At 34.2% G+C, this 21,301-nt stretch overlaps 1 protein-coding gene across 9 annotated transcripts in view; it reads right to left on the reverse strand.

The window, feature by feature from the left end:
• Positions 1 to 21,301, reverse strand: part of HMGCLL1 (3-hydroxy-3-methylglutaryl-CoA lyase like 1) — a 244,547-nt gene that overhangs the window by 51,326 nt on the left and 171,920 nt on the right. For 7 of the 9 annotated variants that reach the window (XM_047418902.1, XM_047418904.1, NM_001287741.2 and 4 more), the window contains 2 exons: positions 13,538 to 13,601; positions 9,721 to 9,909 (listed from right to left, as the gene is read on the reverse strand). The exons of 1 other annotated variant lie outside the window; for it this stretch is intronic. In XM_047418902.1, the coding sequence (XP_047274858.1) occupies positions 9,721 to 9,909; positions 13,538 to 13,601 (253 nt within the window). The remainder of the gene's footprint in view (positions 1 to 9,720; positions 9,910 to 13,537; positions 13,602 to 21,301) is intronic. One more of the 9 variants, NM_001287753.2, reaches the window with a different exon arrangement.

Below are 21,301 nucleotides of genomic sequence, written 5' to 3' on the forward strand. Positions count from 1 at the left end.
TGTTCAGCCCCACGAAACAAATGCAAATAGAAATTAAAATGGCATATCAAATGCAAATCGAGTTGGCATACATTTTATATTATAATATAATCTACAAGTGAGGTTTGCTGAATTTAGCAATATTATATAAACCTAGTGAGTGTATAGGCTGGAAATAGCCTCTCTAAAAACCCTTGACTTACATAATATATCAAAAAACCCCTAATGATCTGATATTTTCCCTGAAAATCCATTCTAAGATGAATAAAATATTAGAAATAAGAATGTTCATTAAAATTATATTAAAATAACTGCTCCCAATCAAAAGTGGGATCAGTTAAATTAACATACACATTTAACATACACACAAGTTAAGGGTAGGCTATGTCGGTGTATACACACACACACACATACACAATATGTATGTGTGTGTGTGTATATATATAGTCTATGAATATATATGTAATATATATTAATACTTATTTTACTAATTTAACATGTTTCCTCTGTGTGGTAGAATTACAAGTAAGTATTTTTTGTGATTTTCCATATTTTCTAAATATTTAAAAAATAATTTTTTAAATTATTGGAAAACAAGCCAATAAACTCCACTACAACTGCTTTGGTCAACAATAAAGCAGTAGATGTAAAATATAGGTTTCATAGTACACACTATTTTATTTGGCAGGCAGGCCTTCCAGAAGTCTACTTGCCCAAGAGGCTGAGATACATCTAAAAATTATTCCCACAATATTTCGGGGGGCAACTCTGCAGCATGTTTGTGGCCCTGTGGAAGACGAACTCATTAAATATGGATTATTATCATTAGCAAATAGGTCTCTGCATCTGTTCTCATAAAGCTGGCAATGCCTTGGAAAGATCAATATTTTAATGACATCCACCTATTTTCCAAACTTGCACCCTTAGAGTCATCACTCACTGTCCTTCTCCCAAACCTTTATCTTTTATCACCGTCACCTTACATACACTCACAAGCAATTCTTAGTTTCACTGCTTCTGCATGGGAATAACCTCTCTCATATGATTCTTCCACCTTATCTCCCCCCTTGTCAGTTTGGGCTGCTATAACAAAGTACCATAAGCAGGGTGGTTTATAAATAATAGAGATTTATTTCTCACAATTCTAGCAGTTCTAGAAGCTGGGAAGTCCACGATAAAAGTGCTGGCAGACTCAGTATCTGGTGAGGGCTGTTTTTAGCTTTGTAGATGGTGCTTGGCATCTTCTTTCCTCCTACCATGTCTTCACATGGCAGAAGTGGCAAATAAATTCCCTTGGGCCTCTTTTATGAGGGAACTAATTCTATTCATGGAGGAAGTCCTAATCACCTCCCAGAGGCCTCACCTTTTAATACCATCACACTGGTGATTTAGGTTTCAACATAAACATTTTGGAAACACAAAGATTCAGACCATAGCACCCCTCATCATTTTTCACCAGGAGCAACACTATTCCAACAGTGTTCTCTTTAGTCTCTGGGTCTCTGGTCTTCAGACCTTTTGTACTTTTTTTTTTACAATTTGTGTGCCTTTTATTTATTTTTATTGCTTAATTGCCCTGGTCAATCTAGTAAAAAGTTTGTCAATTTTGTTGATCTTGTTTGTTTGTTTTTATATATACTTTAAGTTCTGGGATACATGTGCAGAATGTGCAGTTTTGTTACACAGGTATACATGTGCCATGATGGTTTGCTGCACCTATCAACCCGTCACCTACATTAGGTATTTCTCCTAAAGTTATCCCTCCCCTAACCCCCTACCCCTTGACAGGCCCCGGTGTGTGATGTTCCCCTTCCTGTGTCCATGTGTTCTCATTGTTCTGCTCCTACTTATGAGTGAGAACATGTGGTGTTTGGTTTTCTGGTCGTGTGATAGTTTACTGAAAATGATGGTTTCCAGCTTCATCCATGTCCCTGCAAAGGACATGAACTCATGCTTTTTTATGGCTGCATAGTATTCCATGGTGTGTATGTGCCACATTTTCTTAATCCAGTCTATCATTGATCTTTACAGTACCCAGGATAACAGTCCATCTTCTAAATAAAATTTAGATTAAGTTCTCTAACACAAAGCGTTAATCAAATGATCCCTGATTAAAAACCTCCAGTAGCTGTCCACTGTTTTCAGTATTAAAAAAAAATAAAATAAAGACAAAAACAAGAAATACTTCACCCCAGGTTTGCTTCCAAGTATCTCCTCTGGGTTATTATGACACTTTAAGTTTGTCTCTGCTCCTACTGGAAACTCTCCAAGGTCAGTAACCTGAGCTTACTCTTATATGCATCCTTCCTAATACTAGACCACTTCACTCTTTGAATTAGGTATATGCATACATACATACACACACACATACAAACATACACTCGTATATAAGGTAAATAAACTGTTGGGCAGAATAGAAAATTTTTCAATACAATGTATGAAAATAAAATGCATAATGTAATTTTGGGCTAGGAGGACAGAGGGTACTATGATTTTTACATTTCTTGGGAAATCTGTTAAAAGTTCCATTAGAAAAAGACACAATTTTTATAAAATAGTATTACTTAACCTGAAAAGTCTTTAGTAGATGTAGCCATACATGATTCTTACAGTTAATCATACTTACACAGATTTTTTTAAAAGTTAAGTCAGTACAAGAAATTTTGAATGTGGATACATACAACTTCCTGACTATGCAATTTGACATGATTTTCACATTTAATTAGATAGATTAAAAAATTATTGAGGAAAAGGATGATGCTTCATCACGCTTTTTTAAAATTAACCAGTTTGCCTAACAGCAGAGAGACTTTCACATAGAAGATAACCAATAAACCTTTTTTTGGTTAAATTAGTACTTTTAAATAATTCATAAAATAATTCTAAATGGTCATAATTGATAGAAATAATTTATATTGTATATTATGCTCTCTATTGAAGAGAGATTTTAAGTAAATGGAAAAAAAACTGTCACTTCTAGAAGAGGGTTCCAACTGTTTGACTTAAGATTATTAAATTCTCCACATCCTCCATTCCATTGGCTTTCATTCTTTAACCTAACCTTCACTGATACTATTAAATAAGTCTGGTATTCTAAACTGAGAAGTAATTTTATAAGAATGAGCCACTGTGATCCAACAATATATATTACTTCTATTTAGTCTAAACCCAGAGTTAGAAATATTTTGGCAATATATGAGAAAGCTGTTCAACTAAAAAGCTAAGAGATTCCTGAATTTGGGCTATTGGAGTTATCAGTGCTTCTAATTGTGTGTTTTCGGGGTGGTGTGTCTAAGGGCTGGGCATATAACCATTAACTGGTTATATTACATTAAGCTAAAAAAACAGTCATGTGATAATAGTTTATGTTCAGTACAACACTGGCCAATTCAATCCAATGTTCCAAAGGAAAAGTCTGTGTTACATTATATTCAGGGGCAAGAATGTATGTGCATAAAATTTCCTTGTAAATATGAACTTTCAAGTGAGAAAAAATTGAAAATAAACATGAAAAGAAGTTTAAAAATAAAAAGCTTAATGTGTTTTATGCAAACACCATGGCGCAACAAGAAAATTTCCAAATTAAGGCCATATGTGTTAAGAAGTATGCAACAAGTATTTGGTTAAAAACAAGATATTGAAAACAAGATTAATAAGATGAGACATTTACAGAATGGGTAAGAGGTGATCAAAAAGGTAATGAGTTTTGAAATTTCCATCTCTTATGCCAAGGGAAGAATCATATCATTTTCTGGCCTCAATTCTTACTATACTATAAAAGCCAAATTTAAGCCCCCAAAAGAAGAAATATTAGACTGAGAAGAAACTAATAGTATTAATAGATAAGGCTTTCTTTTCTCGAAGGTGATAGCAGCAAGAAAAAATCATTTTAAAATTAAGAATATTTATTTTTAAAAGGTAAAAATTAACCATAATGAGTTGTACTGATTTTAAACTTGCAATATTATGTCTGAAGGAAATAAAATAACAGCTGAAACCTAGGATTAATGTCATACTAGGTGCAATTAGTGATAAAAACAAAGAAACATCCATATCTTTAATTTTTGGAATTACTATAATCACACTAATTTAATTAAAATTGCCAAGAAAAGCAAACAAAATATTTTGATTAACTATATTTGTTTTGAATCTAAGAAATTTTCATGAAAAGGGTATGAGCATATACTTTGATTTATCTTCTAGTGTAACAGAATTCTTTTGCATATGAGGAAATGCAATTATCCCAATATCGTATTCTGTAGATAATGGAAAAGTCAGTGAAAAAATTGAAGTACCCGTTAGGAGGACACTGGAGAATTTCAAGAAAATGAAGCAGAAAACCATAACACTTGGCCCCATGGAAAGTGAAAAGCTACCAGCCATATTCTCCGTCCTGTAATCTCTCAGTTTCATGAGCCTCGACTTTACTTCCCTGTGTATATCTGCACTCGAAGACTCTGCCTATGACCTTTTCAGCCTCTGGATCCCAAAAAAGATGTTCTACCTATCAGATACGTGTTGAAGAGTTTCCTTGGTCCAGTGAGCTGTGACTTGTGAGAATGGAGATCACAATGTATATTATTCCCTGTGCCTACCCTTTTATCCTAGAGTATCAACCAACATAAATTAATGGTGCTGATGTAAGCATGGAAACAATGATTTACAAAACACAACAACAACAAACAAAAAACTGTTAAACTGTGATTAAAAAGAAAATCAACAAACAAAAAACCCTTCTACTGATGAATCCAGTGTTCATTCTTTTTTACTTTTCCGACTCAGGAAACACTTGACAATCAATTTTTCTACTACTTGCCCATTTGATCAGCATGGATGAAATGCTGTGGGAGTGGCAGGGTGGGTTTAGACATGTTTACTTTCTTGGTGAGCTTGAAGTTTGTGATCTAAGTATAGTCTGTTGCATGAAGATTAACCACTTTCATTTTTAGCTTATTACAGTAGAATCAGAACTTTTATATGTGTTATTTTTAAATGTTGATTAAATGAATGTCAGTTTAAAATTTCCTGTAGCTCAGAAACAGCTTTTTCCAACTATCCATATTACCTGTGGATATCTAGAAATAGATGAAGATTATATTATCCCTAAAGACAAAATCTAATTGATCACCTATTGCCAAAATCAGAGAGATGCTTATATTAATATAAAGATGTTGGAGATGAACTAAAGCAAATAGAAGTATTAAAATGTATACCCATTTTTTTTTTACCACTGATATAAACAATCCAACCACTTGTAAAAAACATATATAAAGGCACTTTGTTCATCTTTGTTCATTCAGACTTCTGTGGCTCAGGAGCCTTGGTTATACACACTTGAAAATCCAACAGTCCAACCACATGTATTGTTATCAAGGCATCATTCTAGAAATTCTGTATCTCATCTCAGTTTTGCACAACTCAGGGAAGCAGACATCATTACATCATCCATTCTTACAAATATAGAACTGAGAAACAAAGAGGTTTATCTGGCTAGTAATGGGAATTTAAAAAATTTCTTCTTGAGAAACTCAAAAACAAATTATATGAAGAAAGATTTGCTATTTGGTAGCTTTTAAACATGGTTTATTAAGCAGCACACCAACATAGCACATGTGTACATATGTAACTAACCTGCACGTTGTGCACATGTACCCTAAAACTTAAAGTATAATAAAAAAAGAGTCAATCTAAAAACTGAAAGCTTTTGATGTAAAAATTAGGTAAATAATTTGGTCTTTCTAAAAGAGAATAGTAAACATATGAAAAACATTATGAGAAAAGGCACATTAAAGTTTATTAAGCTTAAGAGAAAAAAGGGCACATAGTACTTCAGAAGAAGAAATGTAAATATTGCCTGTTCTTTGTCTTTGTGCTACCAATCAATGTGTAGCTGTTATTTCAGTATTGGATCTCATTTGTTTCCTCATTTCAGTGGAGAAAAATAGAGGCTGAGAAATTAATTAAACAGTTTGTTAATTGGCCTTTTACTTAGGTACTTGGCAGAAGGGTGAAGCTAAATTTTTACATTAAAAATTCAGATAAGTTTATTGGGCCACATCCGTTTCTTCCGTTACTAAAATGCTGTACGTTTTGTCACCTCATTTTCTTGCTCTTTTGGTTTTGAGGGATTATAAATATCCCACACTGGGATCGACATGCTCAGAATAATTTCTCTATATTAAATAATATGATAATTATTCTTGAATTCCATACAACAATCTCTGGTCCCATAAATCATATATTTAAGTAATAAAAAAAAAATAAAACCCAGGAACCCCAGAAAGATCCCTCAGATCCCTCTACTACACTATTAGTGTGTGCTTTCCAGACTGAGGGGGACGTTCCATTTATAACTTTCATTTGTTTCCTATCATTGTGGCTAAGTTTCCACTTATTACATGTCTCCTTGCCTTAATATTAACTTCCAGTCTGAAGCACTGTAAACTGTTTCTGCACCCCTAAATTAAAGCAAATGATATCTAGTCCACATCCACCACCAATCTTACTAGAAGCCACTTCAAAGATTCCATTTTTTAAAAATGAAGTATGGCCTCTGCTTCCTGAAGCAAAGGTTGGCCCTGTTCATAGTGAAGTTAGATTTTCTCTGATTCTCCTTCTATTCAAACACTGACAGTTTTCTTCAATATATTTTCTTCTTCTCCTCTAAAGTTAAACCTGCTTATTGTGTTTTTGTTGTTGTTGGAAGAGGGGTAAGAAGAGAGCACTGGTGAACACCTCACTCAGCGCCACTCAGGACCAGTCCACGTGTGTTTGCAGTGACATTCCAGTACCACATGTGGCTGTTTTTCATAAACATAAAAGTTTCAAAACATTTGAACACTGTATCAGTTACATACAGTTTCAAGAAAGCAGTTGTGTATATGTCTTTCTTATGATATCAATGCGTTTATCAAACTCTATGCCAGCTGATGGCGGAAAAGACAGAAAGCTCTACATCTCTGCTTTTTGAACATTTTCTCAGTCACTCATTTATAGTAGCTTCTCCGGCCTCATATCATGTTGCTTATCATGCAAACCACTTTTACTCTCTTATCCATGTATTTACACTGTGGCTATAAATTAAGCCCTGGGGCAATGTAACACAGAGTATACTATTGCTTTCCTAGCCCCCTTCCCTCCCTTCTGCCCCAGAGTCCCAGGCACACAACAGAGCTTCTGCACATGGTAGAAAACCAGAAAACACAGATCCTCAGATCCTGACAATTAGACAGACAGTCTAGTATCACAGGAGCCACTGAGGGGTACAGTATCGATCTCTCCCCTCACACACACACACGTGCACAGAAACACACAGATCTCAAATAGTTTAGCGTAAGCCGAAGATATGTTCCTTAAAAAATATATTTATATATTATATATTAACATATAAAAATACATTACAATATATGTATATATTAATAATGTATATTTTATAAGAATATTCTTCTGGCACCTGCAGTGCTACTAACCCATAAGTATTTGAAAATAACTCATCTGCTTAGGTCTTTCCAGTTCTGCAGGTATGTGAACTTGAACCCTAAACCCACAAAACGTTGTGTAGTATAAAGAGATACATCCTATTTCTCCTCCACTCATAGCTGAGACCATGAGACATGAATATGCTTGCTCTCTCCCTTTATGGGATGGATCTTTTGCTGATTCACCCTTTGACTGGGGGTGTGGTCTTTTGGGGAGTCCTGTCCTTACATATGTTCTCATTAATGTTCCTTATCTTGCTTCGGCCCAACGTTGTTTCCTGTCCCCTGTATGGCTGCTATAAGATGGAAAAATGGCCCAGAATTTCAGTCCGAATCTCTCAGAAAATAGAGACAATGCAATTCAACCAATTTAGCAAATTTCATAAACCTTAATTTATCTGAATACATTAGTCTTCTTTTAATTACTAGGACATAATCCTCTCCTTCTCCAAGGACTTTTGCTCAAACGATGTTTCATCAGCTTAAAACATTCTTTTCACACACGTGCACACACACACCACAACACATACACACCATTTTAGGATTAGTTCCTTCTGTTTTTGTTTTTTTTGTTTTTGTTTTTGTTTTTTTTTTTGAGAAGGAGTCTTGCTCTGTCGCCCAGGCTGCAGTGCAGTGGTACGATCTCGGCTCACTGCAAGCTCTGCCTCCCAGGTTCACGCCGTTCTCCTGCCTCAGCCTCCCAAGTAGCTGGGACTACAGGCGCCCACCACCACGCCTGGCTAATTTTTTTGTATTTTTTTAGTAGAGACGGGGGTTCTCCGTGTTAGCCAGGATGGTCTTGATCTCCTGACCTCGTCGTGATCCGCCCACCTCAGCCTCCCAAAGTGCTGGGATTACAGGCGTGAGCCACCGCGCCTGGCCCCTTCTCATTCTTTAGATATGATTGCAACAATTACTTCTTCAGATAGGCCTTCCTTAACCATTAAAACCGCATTGGGGTATTAGCAATGTTTTGTTACTTGGGCATTTTCAAGAGGCAGACATAGTCCAGAAGCAGAAGTTTGGGCAGGTCCCAGATCTTGTTCTATAGCCCTTTATCCTGAAGACCTAAACTGTTATTCATTCTATAATAAATATGCTACACAAATAAATGATTACTCAAAGTGTTAAAATATAGAAGATATATTCATACAGAGAAACGAGAGAGAGAGAAACAGCCCTTCAGAAAAATAACTTCCAGTTGCAGCTGAACACAGGATACTGAAGTGCTGCCTAGTTTTCTATTGTTTCAGAAACTAGAATACCTAGGGAAGGAAAATTGCAAAAATTCCCATGCCCCAAAGACCATGGAATAACATTTTCTTTTTTCTGTGATTCAATAGAACGTTCTTTTCTTGCTGCCAGAGGATAAATAAGGATTTGTACACATATGTTACAAAGTCAAAATAAGCCCTTGTGGAACTTGATCTTCCCATTGTTTTTTAACTTCTGCCAAGCAACTGTATACTTTAGGACTGTGATACTAAGTTTACATATTGGTTTTCAGCCTCCAACCAGAAAGCTTTTATATAGTCTTATCTCTGATTGTCAAAATCTTGGATTCTGAGAATATCAAACAAATCATTTTTAGCTGCATTTAAGAAACTGACATTAATTTTAAAATAATACTCGTTTAATGCTACTTACAGCTATTCTTTCAAATGAATACATTTAAAATAACACAGAGTATAATAAGCAATTCATAATCTTCCAACTTTCTAGATCTCTTCACTTTATCATATAATGGAATATAGTGATTAAAAGACATAAGTTCTGTCAAAAGTAAGCTTGCCAACCTCAAGAAAACATTTTAAGCAAAATATACTATATTTCAGCACCAGATCTTCCCATCATAGAGCATGAAATCACCAAAGAAAGCATTGTTTCATGATTATGATAGTCTACTATTTTTGTGTTTTGCACTGCTCAAAATGCCATCGTATTTCAGTCTACTGAATGTTATGGTTGATAGAATATGAGGAGAGAAACAAGCAGACATAACTCTGCTAAGATTAATACTTTTCAAAAGAATAGATTACAGATTTTATCAAATCAAACTAACAGTAATAAGAGATCTTCATTGCCCTAAAAAAATGTGAAATTGACAAATATTTCCCAAGTGCCTGTCATGTACAGACACTGGTTAAAATTAGATTCATAACATTTTATGAAAATTGTAACAATACAGCTTTCAGTATGTTTATATTACAGATAAAGATGAACACCCTATGCACACACATAACACACAAAGAGTACAAAATACCTGAAGGGCCGTAAGGATATTTGCTAAGGCTTGTCCGTATGTGTCATGACAGTGAACAGCAAGAGCACCTGGTGGGATTTCTTTCATCACACTTTCCAACATTCTTTTCATACTTCCTGGAGTTCCCACTCCAATTGTGTCTCCTAGAGAGATCTCATAACAACCCATGCCGTACAATCTCTTAGACACCTGTTGATAAAGGTGAAGTGCTAGTAAAATAATGGAAATGAAGAGACTCAAACCCTCTTGTGCCACAACTAACATCATCTAAAGGTAAAAATTACAACTAATACCAGTAATGTCCATGAAAAATATATAATGTATTTTCTGGTCCTTTTTCTTTGCTTATGATATTCTAAACATTATATAAGACTTTGAGATTATTGCAATTATCTTTTTCTAATATTCAAGTTTGCCTTAGAGTCATATCTACCTATCTTTTTATCCAGCTATTTGTTCTACTATGAAATTATAAGCTACAATGTCAATTATGGGAGGCGTATGTTTCTCAACACTATAATCAAACCAAAGCATTACAGATCTACTTTGGAAGTAGTATTTCTCAAGCTATTAGTTTAGGGGTCAAAATAGTAATAAGAGATCTTCATTGCCCTTAAAAATGTGAAATTTACAAATATTTCACTACATATATATACAGCTGACCCTTAAACTACACAAGTTTGAACTCTATGGATCCACTTGTACGTGATTTTTTAAAAAATAACTATATTAAATTTTTTTTCGGAGATTTTCAACAATTTGAAAAAACTTGCAGACAAATCCCATAGCATAGAAATGTCAAAAAAGAAAAAGGTATGTCATGACTATATAAAATATGTGTTAATACTAATCTATTTTTCTCATTTACTATAAAATAATACAAATGTATTTTAAAAGGTTAAAATTTATCAAAACTCAGCACACAGACTGTAGATAGTGCCATTCTCATTCAAGAGAAATGTGCATGTAATGATTCAGTACTGAATCATAACTGCATAAAATTAATTATAGTACATACTGAACTATTGTAATAATTTTGTAGCCACCTCCTGTTGCTATTCCAGTGAGCTCCAGTGAGGGTATCCACTTAAAATCCTGGTGATGCTAATCATCTCTGTATGAACAGTTCATCTTTCCAGTAAATTGCATATCGCAGGACAAAGTGATCTCTTGCACTTCTTATGTGTTTTTCATTATATTTAGTGAAATACCATAAACCTTAAATAACACCAATGAACTCATAGGAAGTGCAACTAGTGATGCTGGAAGTGCTCCCAAGAAGCAGAAAAAAGTCATGACATGAGAGAAAGCTGAATTGCTCAATACGCATCATAGATTGAGGTCTCCAGCTACATTTGCCCACCATTTCAAGATAACGAAAATCAAAATATGTGTTAATTGGTGGGTTACATTATCTAAAAGGCTCCCACTCAACAGTAAGCTATTAGTAGTTAAGTTTTGGGAGCAAAAGTTATACCTAGATTTTTGACTGTGCATGTGGAGTGTGGTGTCCCTAACCTCCAAATTGTTCATGGATCAACTATATTAAGTTCAGCTCTTTCACTAAGTAGCTTTGCAAATGGTAGAGTCATTTAATATTTCTGGTCTAATTTATCTGGCTCATAAATATATATACTTTGAGGTAAATTGCAAGATCTCTTTAAGCTGAATAATGTTACTTTCAAAGAGCAATATGAATGCATAAAGGCAGCATGGTATTTTGACAAAGACATGGGTTCTGGAATCAGAGAGGTCTGAATTTAAATCTCAGCTCCCACGCATCCTAATCATGTGACACTGGGCAGAAGATTAGTCTATTTAAGCCTCAATCCCTAATCTTTAGAATACAGACAACAAAACACCTTCTTTTAGCATATTTTCTAAGCCTTGGTTACTCTGTTCTTAAAAAAAAAAGATAAAAACAATTTTAATAATGATGTGTTTGGTTGTAAAAGTGAAATGAGAATGTATAAAAGCCATTTGACACACAATCTGGCACATGATACTGATTCGCTCATTCATTTAATATGCATTTCTTCAATACCTATTTTATGGCAGGTGCTGTGCTAGGTCCCAGGATATAATGGGGAAATGAATATTGACATGGCTCATGTTATTACAGATCCTGAAGTCAAGTGAGGATAGATCTTAGTCAACCCTACTGAGGAATAAATAAATACCAGCTAAAAATAAGAATTTTCAAACAAAGAAACAGGATTCTAAGAGCATGTAGTAAAGGAAATTGACCTGGATCTGTCAAGCTTAGGACCTATGTGACAACTTGAAATAAAGTAAGCTTTATTATAAAGTGCTTACTAACTCGTTGAAGAGGGTGAGAAGGAAGGACCTGAGAAGAATGTTCTAGGAAGAATATCAGATGCAAATGTTAATGGCTTCCAGGCAGCTGACATACAAAATGCAAAGAACATTCCAGGTAGGGAAAAAGCTAAATGCAAAGGACAGTGTAATGAGAAAGCAAAAACTGAGGAGGGAGACAATGAGGGGAAGGACCAGAGGCCTGAACAGAGTAATCACAGTTTGAAGTAGTAATTTCAGAGAGAAGAGAGTGAGTTAAGCACAAAATGTATTAGAATCACACAAAAGGCCCCTTTAAAGTTTCTGGTCCTGAATTATTCCTGTTACATGACTCTGCAGTAGCACCTTAGGCGTTCGGGTACAGAAATGGAGATCCTCACCCAAGGTGTGTGTGGTTCATTCCTACGTGGTGCACAGCAAAAGGAAGAAAGCAAGTCTGCTGGTAAGCAAAGGTGGATCCAGGTTTTGTGGGGCCAGCCTGAAGTTATGCCCTTTGGAGGTATTCTTAAAAAATATATATACAATTGTGAATGCAAATTAATGACAGCCTTGGAAGGGTCCCATGCAAGTGAAAAACCTAAAAAATCTGAATTGTGTTATTTTATAGTATATGTGCCTCTGTGTGCAAGGGTCTTGTGTAAATAATAGATAAAAGGATATGTTTCATTTGAAAAATCTGCAGTAGATTCCAAAAGTTCAAATGAAAGCACAAAAGAGGAACAGCTTTAGCTAAACTGAAACTTTATCCTGCCTAAATTTGGATTTTCTTATAAGGCCGTCTTCACTGCTTTGGTGCAAAATTTTTCAAAAATTAATAAATTTGTCAAAATTAACCTTAAAAACAGGTCTACATTAATATACTTTATATACAAATAAATTTCTGAAACTAATATAATCTCAAAGACAGTGCATTTTGTATTCATTGGTATAAATAAATAATAAAGGACAGGAAGAAAATAAACTTCAGTAATCAGGGCCTTAATGACTATAACCTATTGCTGTAAAATTGTTCTGGAATAACAGCAACTTAATCACAGCAGTAAGATCTCCAGGATCACAAAAGGACAAGAACACAAAAGTAGTGTATATTCTGATATAACGGGCCAAAGTATGCAGGAGCAAAACAGGGATGCTGCCTAAGCAACCAAGGAAAGTTTAAGTGTTTCTCCAAAAACTGCCCTGACATTCTGATGGAGATTGGAAAGGCCACTCACTACGTTATAGCCACAAAAAAACAAAATGTATATTTTTATTCCTTCCACCTTTGAGCACCCAAATTATAGGACTCAACTGTCCCTTAACGTTGAAAAGTTATAGCCAATGTACAGGACTTCACTGTTAAAATGAAACTATTAGTTAAGTGATCAAATATGTCTTCAGGGTTCGCCTCTTAATCCATGGCTTCATGCTATGCAGATTCAATAAATATTAAGAAAGCCCCCTTTTAAAAATAATATATATCATGTTACCATAAACCAAAAAAGCTGAAGATGTAGCTTACTTCTGTCACTTTTTGCGGTGTAATACTTCCTTCATATGGACAGCCCAGAGCACAAGACACATACCTAAATTAAAAATACAGCCTTATAAATATGCATATGGTAAATAAGCCATTTCCATTTTATAAAAATTAAGAATTAGCTGAAACTGCATCAAGAAAATTTATTTTGCACTATTACTTTATTATTATTTTGTCATTGGACCAAACCAAATGAAGTTTGAAGCATTTTCAATCAGCTCACATTTTTATCTTTCTATAATAATTACAATTTGATATGTGTTTTTGATGACAGATGGGGATAAATAGTAAGTGATTATCTGGTAAAGTTATTCATACCATAGCAACATATAACATTCAAAGCAGAAAATACCAGTGAAATATATGGTTTTATTAAAATAATTACATACACTCAACTGTTAAATATCTGGGTCTTTGGAAACATACAAGGAGATCATGTAGTAAACTAACTGAATTTTTCTTCTTACTCCCATCTGGATATTTTGGCCTCATTTAGGTACAGCCATTAATCATCCAAAGGTCTTGGAACTGGGCATAGCCTCAGAGTTCATTTTTTCTCTCTCTCTCATGGGTTTACCTAAATCATTCCAAACAGAAGAGTGTCTAGTGTGTTTAGAAGGCTTAGAATTAAGATATTCTATAAGCTTCTTTTGTAACTCATTCTAACATTAAAAAGTCAAGCATTTCCTGCAAAGACAAACATCCATTTCAATCTTAAATAATTAAGCTTTAGGAAAAGCCTGCTTTAGCTATTTCCAGCTCAACATCAATCCCATTTTATTAAACTTACTTCAGAGACATTTACAATTCTTGTATTGAAATAATGCATAACGAGTATGATATTTAGGAATGAATGAAGCAAGCTGCATAAAAGGGAGAGGGATGGTGGGAAATGAGGCTGGAGATCGAATATGGGGGTCACAATATGAAAGGGTTTAGAAAGCAAAGCCTTTGAACGCCATTCCAAGTTGTCTGGACTTTGAGATCACTCAAAAGTGTTTTGAGGCACTGAAAATTATTACGTAAGGTAGTGGCAAGATCAGATTTGTTTCCCAGAAATATAACTCTGTGGGGGCAGTGGAAGCAGATGCCAGAGAAAAGGTAGAGGCAAAAACACAAGAAATATCCTATTTCCTTAATTCTAATATGCTATTGATTTGAAGATGCACTATGAAATTCCTAACAGTCTTTGGAGTAGAAAAATAAAATACATATTCAATGATTCAGTACATAGCTATTGATTCTAAGATGTAACCAAATTAGGTTACAAAAATTATAGAAGTGTTAAAATGTCAATTAAAACATGTTTTAGTATTAAATAGTTTTATAAGCCATTCAAGCAGTTATGAGGGATAGAAAAGGATAAAAGAGGATAAATTCAAGTAAAATTGGAAAGTTATGCCAGACAGGAAGCTCATCCCTCCGTTATTCCAATCACTATAATCTAAGTTTATGCTTTAGATAATCTGTACATTTAATCAAGATGTGTGAAAATAAAATGTTCTTAAATGAACATAACACTGGAGAAGGTGGCTAAGGATGGAAAAGGAGAAAAAGTTTTAATACAAATGTAATGATTACAATAACATGCTAATATATAAATACATTGATTTTTGAACCCAAAACATCTAGATGTGAGTAAATAGAAAATCCAAGGTATTTATTTACATGTTCTCCTTCTAAATGTGAAAAACAAACATAAATGCAAAACAAAACAAACCTCTCCTGCATTTTCAAATTATTATTTGGCCACAGCTACCACTTTATTGACAGAACCTTAACTCTTTATGTGGGCATTTTTATTTATTCACACTTTCCCTCCAGGACATTTCCATGCCTGTGTTTCTGAGATCTTCACACTGTCTCATTTCATGTTCATATGCTCTTCCCTATCTTGTGAGGGAACACTGTTTTGATCTAGTCACGCATGCGGCTACTTTCTCCAAGGCTAATGTGATGGTTCTCAGCTATGTTCCCTTAACTGTATACTTTAACATTCTAAAGCAGAGGTTGGTACACTAAGGCCCAGAGACCAAATCCTGCCTATTACTCTTTTAATAATAAAATTGTATTAGAATACAGCCATGCCCATCTGTTTGCATACTTATTTATGGCTGCTTTTACACTACAGCAGAGTTGAGCAGTTGCAACAGAAATCATCTGACCCACAACACCTAAAATGTTATTGTCTGGAACTTTACAGAAAAAGGTTGTCAACTCTTTCTAAAGAAGTCAAGCTGCTTTTCCTGAGTGAGAAAAGGCCTCTACCGTCATGAATATGAACTGAATTCTCTTATTTGACAAGCGGCCAAAGCCAGCTTCTGGACTTCTGCTCTTCTCCAACAATCTATTACAGTGGTTCTCAACCTTGGCTGCACAGAATCACCTTGGTGCTTTAAAAAAGATAAACACTGATGCTTAGGATATGTTCCAAAACAATTAAACCAGAAACCTAGTGGATGAAATCCAACCACCAAGATATTATTTTATATAATTTTTAAAGTTCTATTATACTGCCAACATTGAAAATCACTCAACTATTAGCAATACTGCATCACCTGGATTGCTCTACTGATTCCCTTGTGTAAAAAGTTATATTACATGGACCTGACCGTATCTAACTAATCTCAGGAATTTCCTCACAACTATGCCATAATATTTTCATTCAGCTTTGATTGCCTGGTGGTTAAGTTTTACCCAGACCCGTTCCAAATGATTTCTACTTTTCTGAAGCTGCAAACTCCAATTGCTCCATTTATTTTTTTCATCTTATTCCTTATTTCTGGTTCAATGTTTTTGACTTAAGTGAATACATAGTAGTTCTTTCAGCAAGAGTCTGGTAGATGTTGCAGACTGTTTTGTCAGCAAATGGTTTCATTTCATCTTCATTCTTGAGCAATAGTTTGACTAGGTATAAAATTCTATGTTGACAGTTATCTTGGCATATTGAATATATTATTTTACTGTCTCTGGTCTCAGTTATTGCTGATAGGAATTTTACTGTCAAGCTAATTCTTTCATGGTAGTCTATTTTTTTCTCTACTGTTCTATCTGTTTCTATCTTATCTGCATTTTACTATTAGCTATCTCAGGATCTGCTATACTTCTTCAATATTAACAGTGCTTTTCCTAATTTCTAGAAAATTCTCAAGGTACTACCTTTTCAAACATATTTCTCATATCTATTTTCTCTGTTTACTCCATATGGAAATTCTATTAGGCATTTTCTACTAACCTTACTTTTACAATTTCTATTAATTTATTTTTCTGGGTTTCACTCTTACAGTTTTCTCAAATCTTAATTGCAGGCTAAGCTGCACATAATCTGTTGTTCCCTTTGGCGACATGTAATCTGCTGTTCAATTAATTCATTCACTTTTGTATTTTAATGAATATATTCCCATTTAGAGATAATGTTTCATTTTGTCAAATACTAATTTTGTTTTCTGTAAAGATCTGGTTTTTTTTTTTTTGCTTGCATTGTGAATTTTTTAAAGATTCATTTCAAATACATGATTTTGCTATTTATTATACTTTGTTAGACTGCTAAATTGTTTCAAGTTTATCCATCTTCTGAATTTTATTTTTCTCATCCACAAAGATGTTATATCTTTTTTATTATTATTATACTTTAAGTCTTATGTTCTTACTTTGCCTCTATAAACATTTCATGTGGTTAACTTATAATCTTTTTCAGATTGTTCTGTTACCTTCTGTTCTGCTAAAGTTTTTTTCGTTGTCTCCTGTGTTTGTTTTCCTTAAGTTAGCTTGTTTTCTCATGTGCTTTATAGTTTTTATTGTGAGTGCCTTTTCATGGCAATTTTAGTTTCTGTAGGAATTCTATGAGCATCTTGAATTATTTAAACAATCCTATCGAAAGAATCTGATTGCTTTCTGCCCTTACCCTGTGGAATTTATCAATTATTGAACAAATTTCTACCTTAATTTCTTAATTTGGGTTTCCACAATACTCATGTGTCACAAATCCACAACCCATAAAAATAGCTGGCATGGATCTCAATGACTTTGCATTGGCAAAGAGGTGATGCCAGACTCCAAGACATAGTTCCAAATTCATAACTTAGCAGAACATTGAATTTTTTCCCATGTAGATATTAAAATCCCATTACTACACTACTAGGTACTCTTTCTGGGATAGATACCCCCATATGCTTCTGTGGTATCAACCTACATGATTGCCACATTTTCATTGATGAAACCTGAGACTTTTTTTTTCTCAGCTAGGTGATATGTTTTAAAAGTTATAAAATTTCTGTGTGTGTAATGAGAATGAAAAAGGGGGGTCTATGGGTTAGCTAAGTCCTCCATAGTCCCTCTCGCTCACCATTATGCCCATAACCCCAGGATCAACCCCAAAGTGCCTCATGTATATTACAAGCTTGATGCATTCACATAGCATATTTAGTTAAACATGTCTGAAGTGGTCATCGTCCCTATTTCTTTCACATAAACCTGTTTCCCCTGCATTTGCCATTTAAAAAAATTACATAGTTATTCTCAGGGTCAGTCCTGCTAAGTCACTTGATGGTCACCTTTGTAAACTTATTCAATAACCAAAGGTTAGCTGATTCTTCCCCTCTAGCTTCTGTGGCATTTAGCCTCTGCCAGCAGCAGCTTGAGTGTACAGAACCATTCCCAAGAACCCTCTCCTAAGTGCTCTCCTTGTTTCTAACCCCATGTCTCTCCACTTTACTTCAATTTCTAATGTCAAAATTATATTCTTAGAGCATGGATTTGATTACATATTTTTCCACTTTGACAATCTTTAATGGCTTGCTATTTTCTACTGAATAAACTGGTGTTCAAGTTTAGCAATCTGTGAAACTCCAATCTAACCTTCTACCTTTCTTTTACTATATATCCACAAAAAACTTTATTTCAATAAAAGTAAGCTTCTTTCTATTACCCAAACATTTCCTGAGATTTCTCTTCACTGTGTCTTTGCTCTTTGTAGATTCCCTGCCCTGCCTGAAAAAGCCATTATTTTGATTATGTTTCCATACATTCATATATTTTTAATGACTTCATTGTACTGGTACCTTCTTTATGAAGTTTCTCTAAATCACCCCAGATATTAGAATTACTTTAAATTTCAATAGTATGTATCTTTATCTCTCTTAATGTACTTGCCGGTTTTGGCAGTACAATAATTATTTTCATACATATTTTATTTTCCCAGTCTGCTAAAAACTCTTTGAAGTTATGCTGAATTTTCATTTTCATAGCCCACATGGTATCACAAGACAGCACTTTGTTTAAAACAAATATAGTCATCCCTCAGTGTTTGTGGGGAATTCTCCCTATATACTTTAAATCATCTCTAGATTACTTATAATACCTAATATAATGTAAATACTATGTAAGTAGTTGCTAGACTGTATTTTTATTTTTCTTCAAATTATTTTTAAAAATATTTTTGATTCATAGTTGGTTGAATCCCTGCATGTATAACCCATGGATATTGAGGGCCTACTGTATTCAATTGCTATTTCTTGTATGAATTAATACACAAATACGTTAGTTAAAATGTCATTTTTACCTTCTGAATACTTGTCTAAGACATTCCTAATTTTTATAGTAAACAAATAGGTAAGGTTTATTTATGTTCTAAATCCTGTAGCCAGAAATAATAGCACATATTTGAGAGATCAGAACTTGAAATCCATTTTTAAACATTATTCAGATGACATAGTAATCATCAACCATATTGAAACGAATCTTGCTAAAATTAACAAAAAACACAGCATTACAGTAAATCCTGTGGAAATGAATATGAATTGTTTTATTTGTATTTGTGCTTGTTGAGGTCATTTTTTAATAGTCTGTAAAAACATGATATAAAAGAAGACGTGAAGTGTTTCAGTCTTTAATAACCTTACCTAGAAGAATTAAATCATGAAAAAGAATCTACAGTTAGGCCTTATCCCAGCCTACCTTCTCACAATTATCCCATGTTCCTCCAATCATCCTGGCAAAAATTGAAACAAAAAGTATAAGTAAAAGTCATGTATAAATGTCACAAACATTTGGAGTGGAGTCAACTATTGCTTATCCTCAGAAGAGAACAATGCCAGGAGTGATGAAATTATATGTAATCTCAAATAAAGGGAATTAAGATCTATAAACATAGGAGCTACTTTGCTACATTCATGTGGAATACACCTTTCTGTAAGCAACACAAAATAACATGCCATTATTATTAAGTGAATGAACAATATATTTTGAGAGCCTGTAATGCATTTATTATTGTGGATAACATAAAAATTAAAGACTGTTTCATGGCATCCAGGAGTAATTCTGCTAAGATTCAATTTTTGCTCTAGAATACTTGACTGATTTTATTTCTCCTAAGCCTACTATTAGAATACCGTGTATTAAAAATACCTTCTGTATAAACTGTGATCTCTCTACAAATATATGCAAAGTTTAGAAAAAAAATTTCATGTAATATCTTACTTTACATATAGTTTTGTTCCTAAAGCTGTATATGCCTGTGAGGTTAATTTATCTGCGTAGTTCCTGATGAAACTAAAAAGTAAATTTGTATTCAAGTTAGAATATTTTAGGGTTTTCTTTTAAAGAAAATGGCATAACCTCCTTCAGCAATTCATCCTTGGAAAAGTTGCCACGTAAAATATTTAAACATATGTGGGGCTAGACATTTGCTTAAAATTTTGTAATCTCCACAATAAATCCATTTCACCAATGGAAAACCTGAGCCTCAAGTAAATTAAATAGGTTGCAGAATACAAATAGAGTAAACTGCTGAACTAGGCTTTAAAACCAAACTGTCTGTCCAACTTGAAGGCTGGGTCTTTCTACTACATCAGTTGAGCTGTTTACAATGAGAAAGCTTCCTGTGTCAAGCTCAGATTCCCACACTAACTACAAGCTCAGACCCGGGAAGCCAGACATAGAGACTGGTTCAGACTGACTTTTAAATTATCTTTACCTTGATCTTATTTTCTGCCATACCTTTTGAAACTTTCTATACCTTTTTGCTCTATTTGTCTTTCCACTCTAATTGATAAACTACTTCATTTGATCCTTTGTGTTTTTTCCTCTTAAAATGATGAATCCTTGGAGTAATTTTTAATTAAAAGGCCTCAGCCCCACCCAGAGCCACGTGGAAAAAGTGTTAAGAGTCCCATACTGGTAGAGTAGCCTTCCCTTATCTAAGGTTTTACTTTCTGCAGTCTTAGTTACATGCAGTCAACCATGGTCTGAAAATATGAAATGGAAAATTCCAGAATAAACAATTCATAAGCTTAAAATTGTGGGCCACTCTGAATAACATGATGAAATCTCATACCATGCTGTTTGAGATGTGACTCTTCCCTTTGACCAGCATATCCATGCTGTAGATGCACCCATCCCATTAGTCACTTAATGGTTCTCTCAGTTATGAGATCAACTGTATCTCAGTGCTTGTGTTTAAGTAACACTTATTTTACTTAATGATGGACCCAAAGCCCAAAAATAGTGAGGTTGGCAACTTGGATACACCAAAAAGAATCTGCAAAGTGCTTCCTTTAAGTAAAATGGGGAAAGTTTTCAACTTAAAAAGAAAAAAAAAATATTGTATGATGAAGTTGCTAACATCTATGGTAAGAATATAAAACTCCTATCAATAGAATTGTGAAGGAAAAAATAAATTCATGCTGGCTTTGCTGTCGTACCTCAAACTACAAAAATCACAGCCACAGCATGTGATAAGCTCTTAGT

The sequence above is a fragment of the Homo sapiens genome, chromosome 6, assembly GCF_000001405.40.
Source record: "Homo sapiens chromosome 6, GRCh38.p14 Primary Assembly".
Taxonomy (NCBI): Eukaryota; Metazoa; Chordata; class Mammalia; order Primates; family Hominidae; genus Homo; species Homo sapiens.